We start from the raw sequence: 21,460 nt of genomic DNA on the forward strand, positions 1-21,460 counted from the left end.
AGTAAATATTTTTCAAAGTAGACATTCAAAAGTGATTTGCAAACTATGCATCTGACAAAGGTCTAACATCCAGAATCTATAAGGAACTTTTAAGAAATTAACAAGCCAGAAACAAACAATCCTATTAAAAAGTGGGCAAAAGACATGAACAGACAATTTTCAGAAGAAGACATACATATGGCCAACAAGCATATAAAAAATGCTCAATATCACTGATCATTAGAGAAATGCAAATCACAACCACAATGAGATACCATCTCACATCGGTCAGAATGGCTATGACTAAAAAGTCAAAAAATAGCAGATGCTGGCAAGATTGCAGAGAAAAGAGAATGTTTATGCATTAGTGATGGGAATGTAAACTACTTTAGCCATTGTGGAAACAGCATGGCGATTTCTCAAAGAATGTAAAACAGAATCACCTTTGGACCCAGTAATCCCATTACTGGGTATATACCCAAAGGAATATAAATCATTCTACCATAAAGACACATGCACGTGTATGTTCATTGCCACACTATTCACAATAGCAAAGATATGGAAGCAATCTAAATGCCCATCAATAGTAGACTGGATAAAGAAAATGTTGTACATAGACACCACGGTATAATATGCAGCCATAAAACAGAATTAAATAATGTCCTTTGCAGCAACATGGATGAAACTGGAGGCCATTATCCTAAACAAACTAATGCAGGAACAGAAAACCAAATACCACATGTTCTCACTTATAAGTGGGAGCTAAATATCGAGAACACATGGACAGAAAGAAGGGAGCAACAGACACTGGTGCCTACTTGAGGGTGGAGGGTGGGAGGAGGAAGAGAATCAAAAACTATCTGTTGGGTACTATGCTTATTAGCTGGGTGATGAAATAATCTGTACTCCAACCCCCATGACATCAAATTTACCTAAATAACAAACCTGCACCTGTAACCCTCAGCCTAAAAGTTAGGGAAAAAAACCCAAACCCAACTGTTTATATGAAAAGATTTCTTCAAATATTTTGAGATAGTATTTTTTTGTAATATTCCTTTTCAACATTATGTTAAAAATTTGTAGTATAAATGCATTTTTTTCTGAAACAAGCAACTACCAATAAGTAATCTTAGTGCTTAATAATTGCACTAATGAGTTAAATAAACTTTTAAGTGACTTTTGGTGCCTAATTAAATTCTGGTGTAGCAATTTTGTGTTCAAATATAACATAGGGTTGTAATTTAGCATATAGCTTAGAAAATTAGATAAAATAATAATGATCCAATTTTTAAAGAAAGCATTTTTTACCATGTCAGATACACATTTTTTTTACTCCTTATGCCTTCAAAAATGTAGTGAACAAATTTAAATTAACTAGTCTTTAAATGGTTTTATTGGAACACTTAATGTATTGGTTCATTGTAAGAATTAAATTTACATTTAATGGGAAAATATAGCTAGAAGTCCCAAATTCTATTTGGCTATTAGTGTTGTAAGTATAGTATCTTATAACCACCAAATAGATTTTAAAATATGTTTTCATTTACTTTTCTATTATTAATCTCATATTTAGGATAGAAATTTAGAAAATCCAGAAAAGCAATGAGAATAAAAAAATTACTTAATGATTCTAGCTTTCAGAAATAGCACCTGTTGACGTTTTGATGTGTCAGCTTTTCCTGTGTCTGTGTCTATGTATGTACATGCATCTTTATGAGTGTGTGTTACTGTGTACATTACTTAACAATCAATTTTTTAAAAAACTGAGTTTGTAGAGCGATATGTTTGTGAAGCCACAAAGGGGTCTTGGACTGCAAACATATTCAAAAGATACATTGCAAATGCTGACTTTTGAATTTTAAAAGCTAATTTTTGAGTAGCTTTGCTTGGTCTAAGAATATACAAGTGAAATTTATAACAGGGCCTTCATGGCAAAACTCATTCCTGGGTCATTTTGAGGCTGTGTTCCTCAGCTACATTTTTCTGTTTCCTAAAGATCTTCAGATCCTCCTCCGTGATACCAAAATATCTGATTCTTGCAACACTGTGCCTCACCATTGTCGATACAATCTGTTGTAGTGAACTTATTTTTTCTTGTGTTCCTCAGGATTCTTAATCTCAGTTTCTTTTTCCTGAATCATAGACATTTAATTTTGGTTTCAAGTTAATTTTCCATCTGTTTTGTCTCAATGACTCCTGAGTATATTCAGTGGTGAAAGCCCTGGATTGTTACATTTCACTCTTGATAACAATTTAGAATGGCAGATTATTTACCTGGTCTGGATTCCAGGTTTCTCATGATTAACATGAGGATTTTGATTGTATGCTTTCTGAGTTCTTTTACAGATTTAACGCAGAATGTTGGTATGTCTATAAAAGTAGTATGGAAGAGTGGAAAGAACATGGGCTCTGCATCGAAGAGAAAAGTTGAGGGCAAATCTGGGAGCTCTGTGACTTTGGGCATGCTGCTTAATGTTTCCAAGCTTGTATTCTCTTACATGTAAAAAGGAAATATAGAAGAGATTATTGTACTTGGCTACATGTAACAGAAATATGACTACACTGGCATAAACAAACAAGGGGTTTATTTTTCTCTCTTATTGAGAAGTCTGGAGATAGGTAGTTCAGAGCTGGTTTGTTTGTCTGTTCCTTCATATTAACTTTATACTGGGTTTCTTCCACTTATTTCCTCCACCATCCTTGTATTGTTTTCATTTTTACGATCCTACCACCAAGCGTTGTAGGGAAAAGAGAGAGATCAGACTGTTACTGTGTCTGTGTAGAAAGGGAAGACAGACTCCATTTTGAAAAAGACCTGTACTTTTAACAATTGCTTTGCTGAGATGTTGTTAATTTGTAGCTTTGCCCCAGCCACTTTGACCCAACCTGGAGCTCACAAAAACATGTGTTGTATGAAATCAAGGTTTAAGGGATCTAGGGCTGTGCAGGACGTGCCTTGTTAACAAAATGTTTACAAGCAGTATACTTGGTAAAAGTCATCGCCATTCTCTAGTCTGAATAAACCAGGGGCACAATGCGCTGTGGAAAGCCGCAGGGACCTCTGCCTTGGAAGCAGGGTATTGTCCAAGGTTTCTCCCCATGTGATAGTCTGAAATATGGCGGAAAGGCCTGACTGTCCCCCAGCCCAACACCCGTAAAGGGTCTGTGCTGAGGTGGATTAGTAAAAGAGGAAAGCCTCTTGCAGTTGAGATAGAGGAAGGCCACTGTCTCCCGCCTGCCCCTGGGAACTGAATGTCTCGGTATAAAACCCGATTGAACATTTGTTCAATTCTGAGATAGGAGAAAAACCGCCCTATGGTGGGAGGTGAGACATGTTTGCAGTAATGCTGCCTTGTTATTCTTTACTCCACTGAGATGTTTGGGTGGAGAGAAACATAAATCTGGCTTACATGCACATCCAGTCATAGTACATTCCCTTGAACTTAATTATGACATAGATTCTTTTGCTCACATGTTTTTTGCTGACCTTCTCCTTATTATCACCCTGCTCTCCTACTACATTCCTTTTTGCTGAAATAATGAAAATAATAATCAATAAAAACTGAGGGAACTCAGAGGCCGGTGCTGGTGCAGGTCCTTGGTATGCTGAGCGCCGGTCCCCTGGGCCCACTGTTCTTTCTCTATACTTTGTCTCTGTGTCTTATTTCTTTTCCCAGTCTCTTGTCCCACTTGACTAGAAATACCCACAGGTGTGGAGGGGCAAGCCACCCCTTCAAGTGTAGTATCCATGTTCTAGACAAGAAGGATGGAACTTCAAAGGAGCATGAGAGCCTGTGAGGAAATCAGTTTTTCAACCACTGACTCCCTCCTACCTTGCCCCTCTGGTAGTCCCCAGTGTCTGCTGTTCTCATCTTTATGTCCATGTGTACTCAATATTTAGCTCCCACTTATAAGTGAGAACATGCAATATTTGGTTTTCTGTTCCTGCATTAATTCACTTCAGATAATGGCATCCAACTGCATATATGTTGCTGTAAAGAACATGGTTTTGTTCTTTTTTATGGCTGCATGGTATTCCATGGTGTATATGTACACATTTTCCTTATCCAATCCACCATCGATGGTCATCTAGGTTGATTTCATATCTTTGCTATTGAGAATAGTGCTGCAGTGAGCATATGCCTGCATGTCTTTTTGGTGGACTGATTTATTTTCCTTTGGGCATACACCTAGTAATGGAATTGCCGGGTCAAATGGTGGTTCTGCCTTAAGTTCTTTGAGAAATCTCCAATTAATGCCTCACTTAAAAAGCACACAGTGGCAAGCTGGATAAAAAAGCAAGACCCATCCATCTGCTGTCTTCAAGAGACCAATCTCATATGTAATGACACTCATAGACTCAAAGTAAAGGGTTAGAGAATGATCTGTCATGCACACAGAAAACAAAAAGAGAAGGGGTCACAATTCTTATATCAGATAAAATAGATTTTAAACCAACAGCAGTTAAACATGACAAAGAAGGGCACTATACAACGATAAAGGTTTCAATTCAACAGGATGATTTAACTATCCTAAATATATACACACCCAACATTGGGGCACCCAGATTCATAAAAAAAATACTTCTAGACCTATAAAAAACTTAAACAGCCACACAATATAGTAGTAGAATATTGTGAACAGGTTGCTGTGAAACTGGGCAGAGGCCAGGTCCATTATGTTGGTTGAGAAAGGGAAGATTTGATGCTTAGTGGGAGGTCAGCAGAATGAGGAGACTAGGAGGAACCAAAAGAGGGCAAGTTAGGGTTAGGAAGAGCAAACACAGTAGAGAACCTAGGCCTGTCTCCTTTCAATGCGCTGATGTTCAATACTAACACTATAGCACTTCATTATCATTACCCAGGATTTATAGAATAGAAAGTAATGCCTGACTTAAATCCAATTTAAATTTTGAAAGGACTCTGATATTTGACAGGAGCTGTGAATCATAGCTCCATGAAATACTTTCAGTGATATTTCAGATATTAGTAATACCTCAGAATTCCTTAGAGCCTTAATCCATGCTCCCATGCCTCTACCACTGCCATTAAATACTATGAAGGTGGGAATGTTTTATAGTTCCATGTATGTCTTTATTAATAATCAGAATGGTACCCTTTTGACTACTTGAATGTTCCCATTTAAGAAGATTTTCTCCAGGCTGATTGAAATAGGAAGATGTAGTTTCTTCTGTTTAGACTGTTAAATTTTTTACCTGTAATTCAGTGTGCCACATTAGCATTAATTTGCATGGTCAGGGAGTGGGAGCAATATTGAGTCATCATGTAATTATTCGGTGAAATTACACTTTCTTCTATAAATCAGCTCCCTTGAAAGGTTTAGATTTGATCTGTAATTCATTTTTTTTTAGTCTTTGAAAATTCTCCTTTAAATTTATTTAGCAAACACTTATTTGCCTATAAAGGCATTCTATAAATACTGACAGAGCTAATCCTTACTATAACCCAGTGAATTAGGTATTATTATTGTCCCCACTTAACAGTGGAGGAAACTGTGGTGGGGAGGATGAGCTCTTGAGCAACCTGCCCAAGACCACACAGCTAGTAAGTGTCAGAACTGGCATTTAGACCAAGCAGTCTGGCTCCATGAGTCAAACTCTAACCCACTGTTCCAGGCCTACAACTAGACTGCTTCACAATCTTTATTCTTAGATGTCTTTTGTCTTAAGTTCCTGTGCATTCTGGAGTTTTAATATATAATATTTTGGTAGTACTTTAGCTGTAGTCAATTTAGTTTTTTACACAATAGATTCATGATTTGTGGCATTAAATTGATCAGGTGTTAGACTTTCATTCATTTAAATAGCAAGATTTTCACTTCACTTTCCAAAGGTAAGTATAGACATAGTCCCAGAAGCTTTCAGAAAAATCATCACCACTAAAAGCGTTAAACATTTGGATACAAAACAGAATTCTGAAGAGATTACAATGGCAAGCAATAAGGTACTCTACATGGTTAATGTATCAATCATTTTGTGCCATAGTGCAAAAGTCTTCCTATGCAAGGAAATTTTTAAAAAATTGCGTAGTGTTAGATAATACTCCAGTTTTTATTTTTAGTGAGTTGGCTATTCCTATGACATTTCAAATATTACTCCTAGGGCCACTAGAAAAACCCAAGAGAACTGAATGAGCCAGGAATGAGAATAAAAAAAGCAGAAGCTAAATAAAATTACATAAATACATATATATGTGGCATGCAGCCTAACAGAATCATGCTTTGATTTGGGGTACTCTGTGAAAAAAGGATGGTGCTTTTTCATTTTACATGAAGATGAGCCCCCATTTGCATTTAGAGGAGTGGCAGGGCATGGTGAAACTGGTGCTTACTGGCTTAAAGGAGAGATAATTGTTTCCATTTTTTCCCAATTCCGCATTCAGAGGCTCATGTTGTAGCTTGACACTGGCTGTGGTAGGAGTATTTACACCATGGGAATCAGCAAACAGTGGAAATCAGGGCCTTTTCTTTTTACCCAGAGACTGTTGTCAAACATTTACCAACACACCACTGGATGCTTGGACACATAATGAATACATGGTATTTTAAAAATTCCCTCTAATAGTTTTAAAAGAAACAGAAAATAGAGATAAATATAACTCTCTAGCTTAGCTTCATTTATTTCACACTTTGTGTGTGTGGGGGCGGGGGTGCGGAGATTGAAAGCCTATTTTAAGATGAAGGTAATCAGTCCTAAGAACCTGAAATTCACCACTGAACCCTGTAACCAGACCTCTCAAAACACAATCTCTATCAGTCTTGGAAAGCTTTGTCAGGAAGCGAGTGCTTATTGGGTTTTCATTTCCATTTTTTCACCAGACATTTACAATGAAAAATTACTTCCTACTGAGTATCCATTAGCCCCCAGCACCAATGCTAATGAGCAAACTGCAGTGAGCTGGAGAGCAAATGGATATGAGTCACCAAATACACTTAGCGGGCACTTCCTGCTCAGCCTCCTGCGTCACTGCAGAGATACTTGTTCCTTAGCAGCCTGGGTCAAAGTCACAGTCACACAATTGTACGTTGCTGGGAGAGATGCTGATCTGAAGACGTGCACTGATTTGTACTTATGAAATCTGCGCACATACATTCCCTTTCTGGGGGTTTACATTCAGGTTGAAATACTTGCTCTTAAATGAATATTACACTAAAAGCACTCTTTTAATACATATTGCTTTATCAAGACCAGAAAGCCCAACAAAAAGGATTGAGAGAAAGCCTGCTTTTCTGTCCAAATGTAAATAAACATGCCCTTGGGAGTCAGGTAATGACAAGAACCACTAAGCAGCCAAAAGTAGGGAAACATTGAATGCTGCCCCATGGGAGCCTGGCTCTGTGTGGTTTTGTTAGTTTATTTTTGTTTTGTACCTTCCTAATCATAGATGCTACAAATGGGAAAAGGGAGAAGTTTGTGGCTTCAAGGCTTTCCTGGGAATGCTTCACAGCATCAAATAAATAGTCAAAAGCAGCAGATGGAAGACAGAATGATTTCTGATTAGCCCCTGGGAAGGAGGTGACGCACTTTGTGTACGTGGGCTACTGATGGGAACAATGTTAATTTCAAGTTTATGTTGCTTAACAAATGATGCTGATGCCTTGATGAGTGGCTAAGAGTTCACTGAAGGACATTTTTATTTTTAAGAATGATTTTTGTCAACCAGTAGAAGGTGAACATAATGAGGCAAAACTTTGGTTCAGTGGGAACTCTCTCAATGCTCGAGTTTAATGAATTAATTTATATTCTGCTTAGTCCCCACAATTATTTAAGACACTCTATGAAAGAGTATGTGATACAACCAAGTAAGCAAAAGAGGAAATAATAATGAAAAAACAACAAATTTACGATGAGGTTAGTTCACAGTTTGCATGACTGAGGTTTCCTTTACAGATCCTAGTGGTAGGCCATAGATTTGGCTTTGAGCTTTTAGGTAATAAAGGTAGAGAGGACAATATGATTAATTATTGGTTCAGTGTCTATAGGACGAAAACAAATCAGTTGCTCAGGAGAATCACTGCTATTTTACACTGTGTAGTGAGAAAAATTTGACTGAAAAAGCCAGTAAACCTTTACAAGTTGGGAGGAGCACTGAGTGATAGGTATTTGGGTCTGATGGACATCATTTTTAATTAATTTCTTGAAGAACGTTACATTTAAAAATTTAACAACATTTTAGTATTAAAAGTGCCAAAAATTAGAATTCAAATACCTATCAAAGAAAAAAAGGGGAGTGGGTCTAAATGGAAAACATTTTAAATGTTTAGCAGTTAATGGAAATAAACTTTCTATTTTTATGGTAGTAAAATGATATATCAATCTAAATTAAGTAGTAGAAAAAATTACTAAATAGTGCAAAGACAGGCAGGCCTTAGAAGCAGGTCTTTTAATATTGTGAAACCTCTCTGGCAATTGCAACTGTGGGCATTCAGAAGAATCAAAACAAAGGGACATTGAACCACAGCTCTTTTCACAGTTTCTATGAAACTTTCAAGTAGCAGGGTAAAATTGCAGACTCTTCACATTTTTTTGACAGACGATTTTATGTTACAGATAATAAAAAATAAAACTGCTTCTGAAAAGTGTTTTCAGCCTAGATGGCATATGAAATAATTAGTTTATTAACTTTCTAAGCACTTTTATAAAATATTATTAAAAACTAAAGCAACAGAAAAACATTCAAATATGAACATATAATTTACATTTTTAAAAGATGGAGTAGGCTTATAAATAATATAAAGGATATGCCTTATTCATAATCAAATAATGCAAATAAAACTGAGTTTTTCAAATTTATCTGATGAGTGAAATTCTTAAGCTTGTTTATGTGCAATACTGATGAAGCTTAAGGGAAAAGTCATGCTTATTCTAATTGGGAATAGGATTTAGAGTAAATATTTTGGAGAAAAATTCAAACATTCAGAAGTTTTTAAATACACATATTCTTTAATCCAATAACTTGTATTTCTAAAATTTTACTGTATGAACATATTGTCTATGTTCATCAAGATCTGGTACAAGAATGTTCATTGCATGGTTTCTTGTAATAGAAAAAATAGAAAAAAAAATCTGAGGTTATATCTCAAAAGCAATGGTGAAACAATGTTTGATGCGTCCAATTATGTATTTATATGCAGCCAATGAAAAGAATGGTCTCTATATATACCATATATATATATACACACCATATATATATACACCATATATATACCATATATATACACCATATATATATACCATATATATACTATATATACCATATATATACACCATATATATATACCATATATATACTATATATATACCATATATATACTATATATATACCATATATATACTATATATACCATATATATACTATATATATACCATATATATACTATATATATACCATATATATACTATATATATACCATATATATACACTATATATATACCATATATACTATATATATACCATATATATACTATATATATACCATATATAGTATATATATACCATATATATACACACCATATATATACACCATATATATATACACCATATATATATATATACACCATATATATATATATATATGCTATTGTAGAAGGAACTCCAAGATCTATTAGTTAGTAAGTTGGGAAGAGAAACAAATCATGGTATAGTGTATTTTCTGAAAATAAAAGAGCAACAGAGACAGATGTGGTTAGACAGAAAGGACATATAAGATTCGTGTTTGGGATGGTGAAAGAGTGGATGGCACAGGCAGGCTCTGAATGGACTGAGTTTGGAATCATAAGCAAACATTTCTGTGGTCATTCACATGCGTGATAATAGAAGGGAAAAGAATACAGGAACAAGTCATATCTGTGAATCATCTGTATCACTTATACTTGAGGTAAATCTCAAAATAATATTTATATGGTCCATCTCTTCCACTCCACCTCAGCCCTGCCCTTGCCAGTCATATGATTCAGAATCTCTGGGGCCCAGGGCTCAGAGATTGGCACTTATCACAAGCTTCCCCAGTACTCTTGGCCTCACAATTTCTGAAAACCAATAGGGCAACTCTCAGTTTTGGGATGTGGAGAAACTGTAGCTGGAACCTCTTGATCTTTCTTCCTCCTAGCTGCACTTTCCTCTCTTGGTCAAAGTATGGTCAACCTCTTCCATCCCTCCTGTGTAAAAGGAACACTCTTTGCCAAGGTACTCCTAATCACCACCTGTTCTTGATCAATACCTCCCTCTCTCCTTCCCCGGTCCACACCTTTCAAAGCCAACATAAAGAACTAATAGGTCATTTTTGTGGGCCTAAATGTGTGGTTGAATCCATCTTTCAAATAGTCTGAAAGTATTTATCCTCCATAGGATAAAGAACATTACTATCTCTAGCTCTTGATCTTTACATCCTTCATTCTCCACTTCAGAGCTAGGTTACCTTCCTTTTGATCTCACTAGGAAAGTCTCTGGAGAATAATCCTAATGGGGTTGGCTTGGCCAGCTGCCTATACATCACACTTTCAACATTTGGCCTGAAATTTAGAGTCATGAAATAAGTCAGACTTTTGGCCATCTGTCTTTGTACTTCTGGACCATTCTTGGTGAAAGGAAAATTATTATAACCAATGCACTCAGATAATTTTCATTTAAAATATTTTGTGTCTGAAGTATCTAACATCTTTAGCCTCTGTAATTGGAACATTGCCTGACAACTTAGTCATTCAATAAATTCTAGTGGGATGAGTTTCATTTAACAGATACTTATTGAGTGAGTACTATCTGTATTAGGTTCTGGAGATAAGGAATAAGACAACACACTCATTCCTGGAACCCATATATTTTGTAAGAGATAAATGGATGAATATGTTGGATTTATATAAAGAAACCAATAACTTCCATGGAAACTTGATTTGTGGATGATTTAGATTGCACAATTGTGATCAATCACCCAAAATCATAATTGACCCTTTTCTAGATCACATAATGACGGTGGTATTATTCAAAATGTAGATCTTCTGTGAGAGACTTCTGTGATACTGTTTACTAATTTTCACAAAGTGCTTGTTCAAGTAAAACAAATCTTGTCATGCTTAAAGCACAGTCATTAAATAAATTGAACTGAAGTTGCTTTTCCTCCTAAAATAAATGTATATATATATTATTAAGAACCCACAATTTAAGGGGGGTACATAATGTTTTTTAAAAATCATTGCTTCCAACTGTGCTCTATTATATTATTTACTTCCAATCCTTTAATTAAACAATAGCAGATTCCATACTTTTTAAAATTACTTTTAATTCTTAGGAATCCATCCATTCCAGTTCAAACATCAATTTCAAATTAAATGAAATATTTTCCTCTGTTTTGTTACTGGTTACACATATGTCTGAAGGCAGTCTATTTGGACACTCTGCAGAGACAAAATGGATCCTCACCAAAAATCTGATTCATATGTCCAGAATAATGATAGCACACATGTACCACAAGTTATAAAAAGCTTAACTGCTTATATCATGAGGCTTTATAGGGACAGCAGTAAAACTCCCAAGGATGTTAAAAAATGACTTGAGAGATCTGGGAAAGGAGACTGGCTTGGGGTGCTTACTGGGTTTAGAGTGTAGGGCCAGTTGAGGGTTCACAGGAAGACAGAGACTTACCTGGTTTCAACTTCCTACAGGTAGCAAATGAGAGAGAACCCAGGCTTTCTTTGCTCGACAATTGTAGGGCAGAAGGGAAAGAGGAGTGGGTGGGATTGACAGCTGTCGGTAGTCAAACATTAGAAATTGAGTCAGAGTTCATTAGAGTCAAAACAAGCTTCCCCCTCTCCCCCACTCCCACACCCAGCCGCCTTTTTTTTGTATCTGCTTCTTCATTTGGGAGGAAACGCAAAGAGAAAAATATTAGCTAATTATTACAAAGCATCAATACTCATTATAAACCAGTCACAGTTTTTCTTTTGTATGATTGCACAGTTGTATATTATGTAGATATATTTTACTAAAGTAGTAGATATTTTACTTGATTCATACAGGATGTGGTGGCAGATGAGAAGATCAGTCTCTGAAAGATTTAAAATCATGCTCCACGCTCCACATTCCACAGTCTTTCTGCTCCAGGTGTGGCTGGTGTACCAGCAGCATCAACACCTGGGAGCTTGTTAGGAATTGTAGGCTCTCAGGCCCCCCCCAGGCCTACTAAATTGGAATCTGCATTTTACCGAGTTTCCCACAATAAAGCTATCCTTTAGTCCTGTAAGCAGTTCCACATGGAAAGTGTATTTTCCACACAAATAGCTGTTTGATAAAATTCAGCTTTAAAACTAAACTAACCTCTCAATTGGTTCTGAATTCAGAAAAGCAACTGGATTTTAATTTTTTTATCTGATACCAAAACAGGTTTTAACTAAAATTTTCAGTTATCAACTCATTATTTGAGTGTCATGGCTAGTCTTTCTGCTCCAGGTGTGGCTGGTGTACCAGCAGCATCAACACCTGGGAGCTTGTTAGGAATTGTAGACTCTCAGGCCCACTGCAGGCCTACTAAATTGGAATCTGCATTTTACCGAGTTTCCCACAATAAAGCTGTCCTTTAGTCCTGCAAGTAGTTCCACATGGAAAGTGTATTTTCCACACAAATAGCTGTTTGATAAAATTCAGCTTTAAAAATAAACTAACCTCTCAATTGGTTCTGAATTCAGAAAAGCAACCAGATTTTAATTTTTTTATCTGATACCAAAACAGGTTTTAACTAAAATTTTCAGTTATCAACTCATTATTTGAGTGTCATGGCTAGTATACAGGAAGGCATTAATATTTTTGAGATGAAAATGTCACGTTATGCAAAGTTTTTTTTTTTTAAATCTTGTCCAGATGCTTAGACTATGACCCTTGACAAAACATATACAACAAAAGCATATGTTTGTGTGTGTGTGTGTGTGTGTGGGGGTACTGGTTTGTTTTAAAAGAGAAAACACTCTGCTCTGATAAAGCAATAAAAAGCAAATAGGGTTAGATCCACATCTGAGACATGTTACCCTTTGTGATGAGATATGTTGCCTTCTGTGGGGTTCAGCATGTAACCTGTGAGGTTCAGAGGCATTCCCTCTGAGAACTGGAACAAGACAAGGATGCCCACTTTCAGTGCTTCTATTCAACATTGTACTGGAAGTCCTAGCAATCAGACAAGAAACCAGAGCAATCAGACAAGAAAAAGAAATAAAGAACATCCAAATTGGTAAAGAGGAAGTCAAACGGTTCCTTATTGCTGATGATATGATCCTATGCCTAGAAAACCATAGACTCCTCCAAAAGGCTTCTAGAACTGATAAATGAATTCAGCAAAGTTTCAGAATACAAAATCAATGTGCACAAATCAGTAGCTCTTCTATACACCAACAGCAACCATGCTGAGAACTAAATCAAGAACTCAACCTCTTTTACAATAGATGCAAAAAAAAAAAAAAAACAAAAAAAACCTAGGAATTCACCTAACCAAGGAGGTGAAAGACCTCTACAAGGAAAATTACAAAACACTGCTGAAAGAAATCACAGATGACACAAACAAATGGAAACACACTCCATGCTCATGAATGGGTAGAATCAATATTGTGAAAATGACCATCCTACCAAAAGCAATATACAAATTCAATGCAATTCCCATCAAAATACCACCATCATTCTTCACAGAACTAGAAAAATAATCCGAAAATTCATATGGAACCAAAAAAGAGCCTGCATAGCCAAAGCAAGACTAAGCAAAAAGAACAAATCTGGAGGAATCACATTGCCTGATTTCAAACTATACTCTAAGGCTATAGTCACCAAAACAGCATGGTACTGGTATAAAAATAGGCACATAGACAAATGGAACAGAATAAAGAACCCAGAAATAAACCCAAATACTTACAGCCAATGATCTTTGACAATGCAATCAAAAACATAAAGTGGGGAAAGGACACCCTATTCAACAAATGGTGCTGGGATAATTGGCAAGCCACATGTAGAAGAATGAACTCGATCCTCATATCTCACCTTATACAAAAATCAACTCAAGATGGATCAAGGACTTAAATTGAAGACCTGAAACCATAAAAATTCTAGAAGATAACATCAGAAAAACCCTTCTAGATATTGGCTTAGGCAAAGACCAAGAACCCAGAAGCAAATGCAACAAAAACAAAGACAAATAGATGGGACTTAATTAAACTAAAAAGCTTCTGCATAGCAAAAGAAACAGTCAACAGAGTAAACAACCCACAGAGTGGGAGAAAATCTTTGTAATCTACGCATCTGACAATGGACTAATATGCAGAATCTACAAGGAACTCAAATCAGCAAGAGAAAAACAAACAATCCCATCAAAAAGTGGGCTAAGGACTTGAACAGACAGTTCTCAAAGGAAGATATACACATGGCCAACAAACATATGGAAAAATGCTCAACATCACTAACGATCAGGGAAATGCAAATCAAAACCACAATGCAATACCACTTTACTCCTGCAAGAATGGCCATAATAAAAAAAATAAAAAAATAATAGATGTTGGCATGGATGGGGTGAACAGGGAACACTTCTATACCGCTGATGGGAAAGTAAACTAGTGCAATCACTTTGGAAAACAGTTTGGAGATTCCTGAAAGGACTAAAAGTAGAACTACCATTTGATCCAGCAATTCCACTACTGGGTATCTATCCAGAGGAAAAGAAACCATTATACGAAAAAGATACTTGCACATGCATATTTATGGCAGCACAATTCGCAATTGCATAAGTATGGGTCTACTCCAAATGCCCATCAAGCATTTGCAGCAATCTGGATGGAACTACAAGGAATGGAAAACCAAACATTGTATATTCTCACTTATAAGTGGAGGCTAAACTATGAGGATGCAAAGGCATAGAATGATACAATGGACTCTGGGGACTCAGGCAAAAGAGTGGGAGGAGGTGAGGGATAAATGACCACAAATTGGGTTCAGTGTATACTGCTTGGGTGATGGGTGCACCAAAATCTCACTAATCACCGCTAAGAATTTACTCATGAAAGCAAACACCACCTGTTCCCCAAAAACCTATGGAAATAAAAAATTGTTTTTAAAAAGTGTGTGGCACCTCCCTCTGCCTCCCAAAAGCAAAACAAAACAAAACAAAGTGGACCCCATGGCTTTGCATTACAATGACAAAACCTACTTAATTTGCTTCAGAATAACTTGTTCAAATCTGAACTGTTTGGAAATGTCTCCTGCAGAACGTTTGTCATGGTCTGGGCATCTTTTTGTCACTGTAAACTCCTTCTTAAGAAAACATGCGGAACATTTAATTTGATTATCTGGTTTCTAGGGATTCCCAGGACTATCTTCATTTACATGAATGTACATTAGCTCTGGCATGGATCGCCTGCAGAAGTGAGTGCATTCAAGACATCTCATTAAGCACTAAATTTAGTCCCTGAAGACTGAAAGAGGAGAAGAACAACCAGCTGCAGAAAGTCTTGGGCTCTGTGACTGGTGAGTTGTAGAAGACAGAAGGAGGTTTGTACGCTTTACTCTAGAGTAATAGAATGGTCTGTAAATCAGGAGCTGGAAAAATGGTAAATGAAGATGTTGAATAGGAGATTCTCTAGCCTATTGTAAGAGTGTATTGAAGGAAACCTTAAAAAATTATACAGTAGTTCAGACCTTTCTTTCATATATCTTCTCCTTTTTCCATTTCCCTAATTTTATGCCATATTGATAACCCACAATAAGATTTGGGTAGGTAAAGGAAAAAGGGGGATTCTTCTCTGGTGGGCAGGGGTGGGGGTCACAAGGTGCTCAGCAGGGGATCTTTTGAGCCAGGATGAGCCAGGAGAAGGAATTTCACAAGGTAATGTCATCAGTTAAGGCAAGAACAGACCATTTTCACTTCTTTTGTGGTGGAATGTCATCAGTTAAGGCAGGAACTGGCCATCTGGATGTGTATGTGCAGGTCACAGGGGATATGATGGCTTAGCTTTAGCTCAGAGGCCTGACATTCTTGTCTTCTTATATTAATAAGAAAAATAAAACAAAATAGTGGTAAAGTGTTGGGGTGGCAAAAATTTTTGGGGGTGGTATGGAGAGATAATGGGCGATGTTTCTCAGGGCTGCTTTGAGCGGGATTAGGGGTGACGTGGGAACCTAAAGTGGGAGAGATCAAGCTGAAGGAAGATTTTGTGGTAAGGGGTGATATTGTGGGGTTGTTAGAAGAAACATTTGTCATGTAGAATTATTAGTGATGGCCTGGATATGGTTTTGTATGAATTGAAAAACTAAACGGAATAAGAGAAGGAGAAAAACAGGTATTAAAGGACTAAGAATTGGGAGGACCCAGGACATCTAATTAGAGAGTGCCCAAGGAGATTCAGCATAGCCTTGCCAGCAAAGATTATTTATTTACTTTAAGAGTTAAGAGTGGCGGTTTGGGGATAGCACCAGGAGATATCAGCTGTGACAGCTTGGAGAAACAGCGTAAACCAGCAGTGTAAATAAGAGCAGGGCATTTATAAGTAGTTGAGAATGGTGAATAGGAGTATGACTAGACAGAAGATAGTAGGATGACAAGTTTTTTGGGGCACAGCCCAAGTTGGTCTGGTGTCTGGAATGAGACTGGGGACTAATAAAAAGGAGCGTCTATACAGGAGCTTAAATGGGCTGTACCCTGTAGCATTCCGAGGACAGGCCCGACTTCTGAGAAGGGAAAGTGATAAAAGTATTGTCCAGTCCTTTTTAAGTTGGTGGCTGAGCTTGGTGAGGTGTGTTTTTAAAAGACCATTACTTCATCCTACCTTTCCTGAAGACTGAGGACTGTAAGGGATATAAAGGTTTTACTGAATACCAAGAGCCTGAAAAACTGCTTGGGTGATTTGACTAATAATGGCCAGTCCGTTATCGGGCTGTATAGAGGTGGGAAGGCCAAACCGAGGAATTATATCTGACAGAAGGGAAGAAATGACCGCAGTGGCCTTCTCAGACCCTGTGGGAAAGGCCTCTACCCATTCAGTGAAAGTATCTACCTAGACCAAGAGGTATTTTAGTTTCCTGACTTGAGGCATGTGAGTAAAGTTAATTTGCCAGTCCTGGGCGGGGGCAAATCCCCGAGCTTGATGTGTAGGGAAGGGAAGGGCCTGAGAAACTCCTGAGGAGTAGCAGAATAGCAGATGGAACACTGAGAAGTGATTTCCCTGAGGAAAGATTTCCATGATGGAAAGGAAATGAGAGGTTCTAAGAGGCAGGCTAGTGGCTTGTAACCTACATGGAAGAGGTTATGAAATGACAACAGAATAGAATGGGCCTGTGAGGCTGGAAGGAGATATTTTCCTTGGTCTAAGAACCATTTGCCTTGTGTGGGAAGAGATTGATAGGCGGAAGTTTCAATGGGGGAGTAGGTGGGAGTGGCCAGATTAGAAGGAGAAAAACTGAAAGTGAGGGATAGAAGTTGGAACGCTAGCTGCTTTTTTAGCTACCTTATCAGCATAAGCGTTGTCCTGAGTGATGGGATCTGATGCCTTTTGGGCCTTTGCAGTGAATGACTCCAGCTTCCTTTGGAAGTAAAGTGGCTTTGAGAAGCGTTTTTATTAAAGAGGCATTAATGATGGAGGACCCTTGCGTAGTGAGGCAATCTCTTTCAGCCCATGTAACAGCATGGTGGTGCAAGATATGGAAGGCATATTTAAGAGTCAGTACAAATATTGACACGTAGTCCTTTTGCAAGAGTGAGGGCTTGAGTTAAGGCAATGAGTTTGGCTTACTGAGAGGCAGTGGAGGGGAGCAGGAAGTATATGCGTCAGGTGTGAGGAAGAAAATAGATTTCAGAAGTTATGAGAACTATAGAGAGTGAGTTGAGCATAGTTTGTGATTTTGAGGGCCTCTAAAAGTATTAAGGCAGTGGCAGCTGCTGCACGCAGACATGAGGGCTAGGCTAAAACAGTAAGGTCAAGTTGTTTGGACAGAAAAGCTACAGGGTGCTGCCTGGGCTCTTGTGTAAGAATTCTGACTGCACTAACCATGCCTAGGAAGGAAAGGAGTTGTTATTTTGTAGAAGGGATTGGGGTTTGGGAGATTAGCTGGACATGATCAGCAGGGAGAGCATGTTATCATGAGAATTATGTCGAGATAGGTAACAGATGAGGAAGAAATTTGGGCTTGACTGAAGTAATGGGGGCTGTCAGTGAAGCCTTGCGGCAGTACAGCCCAGGTAATTTGCTGAGCCTGATGGGTGTCAGGGTCAGTCTAAGTGAAAGTGAAGAGAGGCTGGGGTGAAGGGTGCACAGGAATAGTAAAGAAAGCATGTTTGAGATCCAGAATAGAATAATGGGTTTGTGGAGGGAGATATTTAGGATAGGAGAGTATATGTGTTTGGCACCATGGGGTGGATAGGCAAAACAAGTTGGTTGATAAGGCGCAGATCCTGAACTAACCTGTAAGACTTGTCTGGTTTTTGGACAGATAAAATGGGGGAATTGTAAGGAGAGTTAGAGGCTTTAAAAGGCCATGCTGTAACAGGCGAGTGATAACAGGCTTTAATCCTTTTAAAGCGTGCTGCGGGATGGGATATTGGCCTTGAGTGGGGTAAGGGTGATTAGGTTTTAATGGGATGGTAAGGAGTGCATGATCAGTCGCTAAGGAGGGAGTAGAAGTAGAGGTATCCCATACTTGTGGGTTAAAGTGGGGAGATATAAGGGGAGGATGTGAAGGAGGCTTTGGACTGGGGGAAAAGGCGGCAATGAGGTGTGGCTGTAGCCCAGGAATAGTCAGGGAAGCAGATAATTTAGTTAAAGTGTCTCCACCTAATAAGGGAACTGGGCAGGTGGGGATAACTAAAAGGAGTGCTTAAAAGAGCATTGTCTAAGTTGGCACCAGAATAGGGGAGTTTTAAGAGGTTTAGAAGCCTGGCCGTCAATAGCCACATCAGTTATGGAGGCAAGGGAAACAGGCCCTTGAAAAGAAGGTAATGTGGTGTGAGTAGCCTCTGTATTGATTAAGAAGGGGACGGACTTACCCTCCGTATTGATTAAGAAGGGGACGGACTTACCCTCCACTGTGAGAGTTACCCGAAGATCGGCATCCGTGATGGTCTAGGGGGCTTCCAAGGCAATAGGGCAGCGTTAGTCTTCAGCCGCTAAGCCAAGAAGATCTGGGAAGGAGTCAGAGAGCCTTGGGCCAAAGTTCCAGGGGCTCTGGGAGTGGCTTCCAGGTGAGTTGAACAGTCTGATTTTCAGTGGGGTCCCGCACAGATGGGACATGGCTTAGGAGGAATCCTGGGCTGTGGGCATTCCTTGGCCCAGTGGCCAGATTTCTGGCACTTCTAGCAAGCTCCTGGGGGAGGCAGGCCTGGGTGAATGCCTGACTGCTGTGGTTCAGGCGTTTGGAAGTTCTTGTGTGCTGGAGATATGGCTGGGGTTTGTCTCATGGTTGAGGCAAGGAAGTGCAACTCAGAAATACATTGCTACTTGGCTGCCTCTACTCTATTATTGTACACCTTGAAAGTGAGGTTAATTAAGTCCTGTTGTGGGGTTTGAGGGCTGGAATTTAAATTTTGGAGTTTTGTTTAATGTCTGGAGCAGATTGGGTAATAAAATAAAATGCATATTGAGAATAAGACGACCTTCTGACCTTTCAGGGTCTAGGGCTGTAAAGTGTCTCAGGGTTGCTGCCAAACAAGCCATGAACTGGGCTGGGTTTTTATATTTGATGAAAGAGCCTATACACTAACTGATTTGGGAGAGGTCGGATAAAGAAAAAGGAGCATTAACCTTGACTATGCCTTTAGCTCCAGCCACCTTTTTAAGAGGAAATTGCTGGGCAGGTGGGGGAGGGCTAGTCACGGAATGAAACTGTAAGCCGGACCAGGTGTGAGGAGGAGAGATGATAAAAGGATTATAGGGTGGAGGAGCAGAGGCTGTGGAAGAATTGAGACCTAGCTCGGCCTGGCGAGGAGGAGCCTGGGGAGGAGGGGAGAGGTCAGATTGGTCTGTAGAAAAGGAAGATTGGAAAGAGGAAAGACTCAGCAATGCTTGGGGTTGGGACTGAGGGGACAGGCGGAAGGGAAAGAAGGAAGATTTGGGATGAGTTGCATTGGGAACGGAGACTAGGGAGGAACAAGGTGTAAAAGAATGCCTGGATATCAGGCACCTCAGACCATTTGCCCATTTTATGACAAGAATTATTTAGATCTTGTAGGATGGAAAAAATCGAAAGTACTGTTTTCTGGCTATTTGGAACCACTGTCAAGTTTGTATTGGGGTCAAGTGGCATTTGCAGAAGAAAATAAGGCATTTAGGTGTTAGGTCAGGTGTGAGTTGAAGAGGTTTTAAGTCTTTGAGAACACAGGCTAAGGGAGAAGGAAGAATGGAGGGTGGAAGTTTGCCTATAGTGAAGGAGGCAAGTCCAGAGAAAAGAGAGGGTAGAGACACGGAGAGAAGGGGTGAGGGGTGCTTGCCCCCCAGGAAAGTGGAGAAGGGGTAGAGATATGGAGAGAAGGGGTCGGGGGGTTCTTGACCCCCAGAAAAGTGACACTTGCCACTAAGGGTCAAGGACCAAGGCAGGAGTCCCCGCGTGGTCAGACACCACTGAAACATGGGTGAATAATCAGGCAGGCATCCCTGCATGGTCAGACACCTGTGAAATATGGGTGAATAATCAGGCAGGCATCCCCCACAATGATTGAACACCAAGGGAAGACTGCCTTCCCGAGTCCGTGACCTGCGCCGGAGTTTTGGGTTCATGGATAAAACGCATCTCCTGAGTTGTCTTTACCAGAGAACGAAAGGAAATGAAATTAAGAGAAGGGAGAGACTGAAAGCTGGTGCCAAGATTGAAAGGAGAAAGAGGTTGAGGGATAGTGAGGGAGGTTGGAGAAGAGAGTAAAAAGAGGCTGCTTACTGGATTTTAAATTGGTGAGATGTTCCTTGGGCTGGTCAGTCTGAGGACCCGAGGTTGTAGGTGGATCTTTCTCACGGAGCAAAGAGCAGGAGGACAGGGGATTGATCTCCCAAGGGAGGTCCCCCTATCTGAGTCACAGCACCAAATTTCATGCATGTCTGTGTGAAGAGACCACCAAACAAGCTTTGTGTGAGCAACAAGGCTGTTTATTTCACCTGGGTGCAGGCAGGCTGAGTCCGAAAAGAGAGTCAGCGAAGGGAGATAGGGGTGGGGCCGTTTTATAAGATTTGGGTAGGTAAAGGAAAAAGGGGGATTGTTCTCTGGCGGGCAGGGTTGGGGGTCACAAGGTGCTCAGCGGGGGAGCTTTTGAACCAGGATGAGCCAGGAGAAGGAATTTCACAAGGTAATGTCATCAGTTAAGGCAGGAACAGGCCATTTTCACTTCTTTTGTGGTGGAATGTCATCAGTTAAGGCAGGAACTGGCCATCTGGATGTGTACATGCAGGTCACAGGGGATATAATGGCTTAGCTTGGGCTCAGAGGCCTGACACTCAACATTAAGTGACACCTGACTCTATATC

The 21,460-nt window shown here is 39.1% G+C and overlaps 1 long non-coding RNA gene across 1 annotated transcript in view; it reads left to right on the forward strand.

Annotated features, from left to right (window-relative positions):
• Positions 1-15,525, forward strand: part of LOC112267962 (uncharacterized) — a 162,505-nt gene extending 146,980 nt beyond the window's left edge. The window contains exon 3 of the long non-coding RNA XR_002956360.2: positions 15,319-15,525. This is a non-coding gene — a long non-coding RNA (uncharacterized LOC112267962). The remainder of the gene's footprint in view (positions 1-15,318) is intronic.
• The last annotated feature ends 5,935 nt before the right edge of the window (positions 15,526-21,460 follow it).

This window comes from Homo sapiens, chromosome 6 (assembly GCF_000001405.40).
Source record: "Homo sapiens chromosome 6, GRCh38.p14 Primary Assembly".
NCBI lineage: Eukaryota > Metazoa > Chordata > Mammalia > Primates > Hominidae > Homo > Homo sapiens.